Source organism: Homo sapiens, chromosome 3 (genome assembly GCF_000001405.40).
Source record: "Homo sapiens chromosome 3, GRCh38.p14 Primary Assembly".
NCBI classification, from domain to species: Eukaryota; Metazoa; Chordata; class Mammalia; order Primates; family Hominidae; genus Homo; species Homo sapiens.
Genome location: NC_000003.12, coordinates 188296334 through 188298790, shown reverse-complemented (window position 1 = coordinate 188298790; position 2457 = coordinate 188296334). Strand labels below are relative to the sequence as shown.

The window sequence follows — 2457 nt, the reverse complement described above, 5'->3', positions numbered from 1 at the left end:
GGTCAGGACGCTGAGCTTTTGTTCCTTTATAGGATTGTTCAGCTTCCTCTCCAGCTGAGACCACACCCTTTTTGTGACCTTCTCACTCTTTTCATGCCCTGAGTGTGTCTTTTTCATCCTCATACCGATGGATTAAATGTCTTTTCAGAAAGCTTTCACTTTATGCACTGCAGGCCATAAGTAAATTGATACCCGTAAAGTTTGAGAAGGGGTACTCATGAGAAGCGCCTCACGAGAAGTGTGTGCCCTAGTCCAGACCCAAACATTTAGGGAGATGAGCTGAATTCTGGTAAAACCTCCCTAAGTGAGTCTTATCCACAGACTTAGGTGAGAACAATTGCTGTGTGGAGCAATCACCAACAATGGTATTTAAGAGAAGCAAAGGTAAAATAAGCAATGGGGTAGCCAGGCTAGTGCCCCCAGGAGGATCAGTGGCCAGTAGCCTGTGCTCATGGTGGACAAAGGGAGGGGGCCCAGAGAGTGACCAGGATAACAGAACGGCATCCATTCTGGACAAGGAAACAGAAAGCTGTTCCCAAGAAAAGAGAAGTGTGATCTGTCGAGGATTTCCAGAGAAGAGGATCCTATTAGGATCGTATCAGGAGCTCATTGGGCTTGCTACCACAATTGGGAAATTTGGGCAGGATTTGGGTTTGGAGAGATAGGTTTGCAAAGGATGTTCATTTCAGGAAGGCTATCAACCAATCTATACAATATATTCAGTTTATTAACTTGGAAAAAAGATAACAGTAGGTAAAAGTAGATGAGCACATTCTCTGTAAATTACTTTAATTATTGTTGAAACAATGATAGGCTCTGAAGAAACTTCCCATTGGAGAAAATTTGTCATAGGCTCCCAATTCAAAGATACATAATCCATCATGGCTACTACATTTCTATGACATATGTCTTTTGCCAAAATGAAGTAGTGAGCTCAACTAAGTACCTCTACCTGATCCCTTTGAATGTCAAAACCAAGTCCAATTCAGTTGTCTCATCAGTCTCTAGAAACATATCCTTATTGTTTCACTTCAATATGAAATGCTCAATATGAAATTAAGGATTAAGCTGGGTAATGAAACCTAGCCCCAGTGTCCTTTGATAATGACTTTTGTATTAATAGTTTCTTCATATATAAAATGGAAGGGGAAAGAAAAGATTTTAGTTAATAACCAAGATAGCTGTTCAGCTTGAATCACTATATAAACTACTGACTCACATTTTAAAACCTGATAGGCAATCTTTTGTTTTCTTTAAGCAACATATAGTCTCTCATTTGTACCATCAATCTATTCAATTCCTGATTTCCAAGAATCTTTTCTGCTTTATTCACAATTCCAAAAATAGAATTTATCTACTTGATTAGAGCCTCCCATCTATTGTAGTATTACGGAATTTATGTCTTTACCCCTTGGAATTTTTTACCCTACGACATTCTCTAAAACAGTATCTTGGAGGGAAGGAGTCTGAAATTTACAAGCAATGTCCAAAATTTGGCACTGAGGGGTGGTTGTTATTTCCGAAGTGGGGGCTGATTCTTGCACTATGGACCTTGGCAGTGTTACACAAGATTTGTTGACTCAAGGCTGAGTTATCTAAGTGTGTCCTTCAATTGGTGTTGCATAAGTAGATTAACCAGACTGAATTATAGATCGAATGACATCATTCCCTGCTCAGGAAACTGCCCCTGGTTTTTCACTTCCATATTGTGGCCCTGTCCTACCATTCTAGCCTCCCACTTTTTTCCCCTAAAGGAACTATGTTGACATTTGGGAAGAGTGTGGGGCAAGAAGCCTGGCACTGCAGAACGTCTCCTTTCTCCACTGCTTCTTCTCTTTTCTTGTTTGCCTCCCTCCCACTCCCTTGTTCTCAGATGAGGAGGCAGAGAGTTACCCAATTATTGAGTTTGGAGAAGAAACTGGCCATGTGTAACCCAGTCACTTCCTTCCAGTCTTTGTGAGTTACCTGACTGTTAGAGGCAGATCCTCCCTGCTCTTCATGGTTGGGAGCTTTATGCACAGTGTGCCCTAAATGGGAGTTATTGAGTGCAGGAGCTATCTGAGAGGAAGAGGGTAAATTTCATTCATGGGTGCTGCATTAGCAAGCCCAATGAGCTAATGTTCCACAACCTGGACATTATTGCCATCTGCCTCTGTGTGACTCCATTATTTTCAACTGGTTTCAATATAGGTAGGAGAGAATGAGAGAGAGAACAGCAAGTGGAGCTGGGAAAGGACTTGGTGACTAAGGCAGAGGCTAAATTCAGTTTCAATCAGCCTCCTAAATTATCACCTACTGTAACCACACTAAATGTGCACTATCTGATACCTGGATACATCCCTGCCTCTGCTTTTGCTCACACTCTTCAGTCAGCCTAGAACTACCTTCCCAAACCCTTACCTCTTCCTACCCTAACCTCCAGCCTTCTCAGACGGGGCCAACCTCTGGGATTCCTCC

At 42.0% G+C, this 2457-nt stretch overlaps 1 protein-coding gene across 56 annotated transcripts in view; it reads right to left on the bottom strand.

Annotated features, from left to right (window-relative positions):
• The window catches only part of LPP (LIM domain containing preferred translocation partner in lipoma), a 737651-nt gene that overhangs the window by 591881 nt on the left and 143313 nt on the right, over nucleotides 1–2457 (bottom strand). The window lies entirely within an intron of this gene.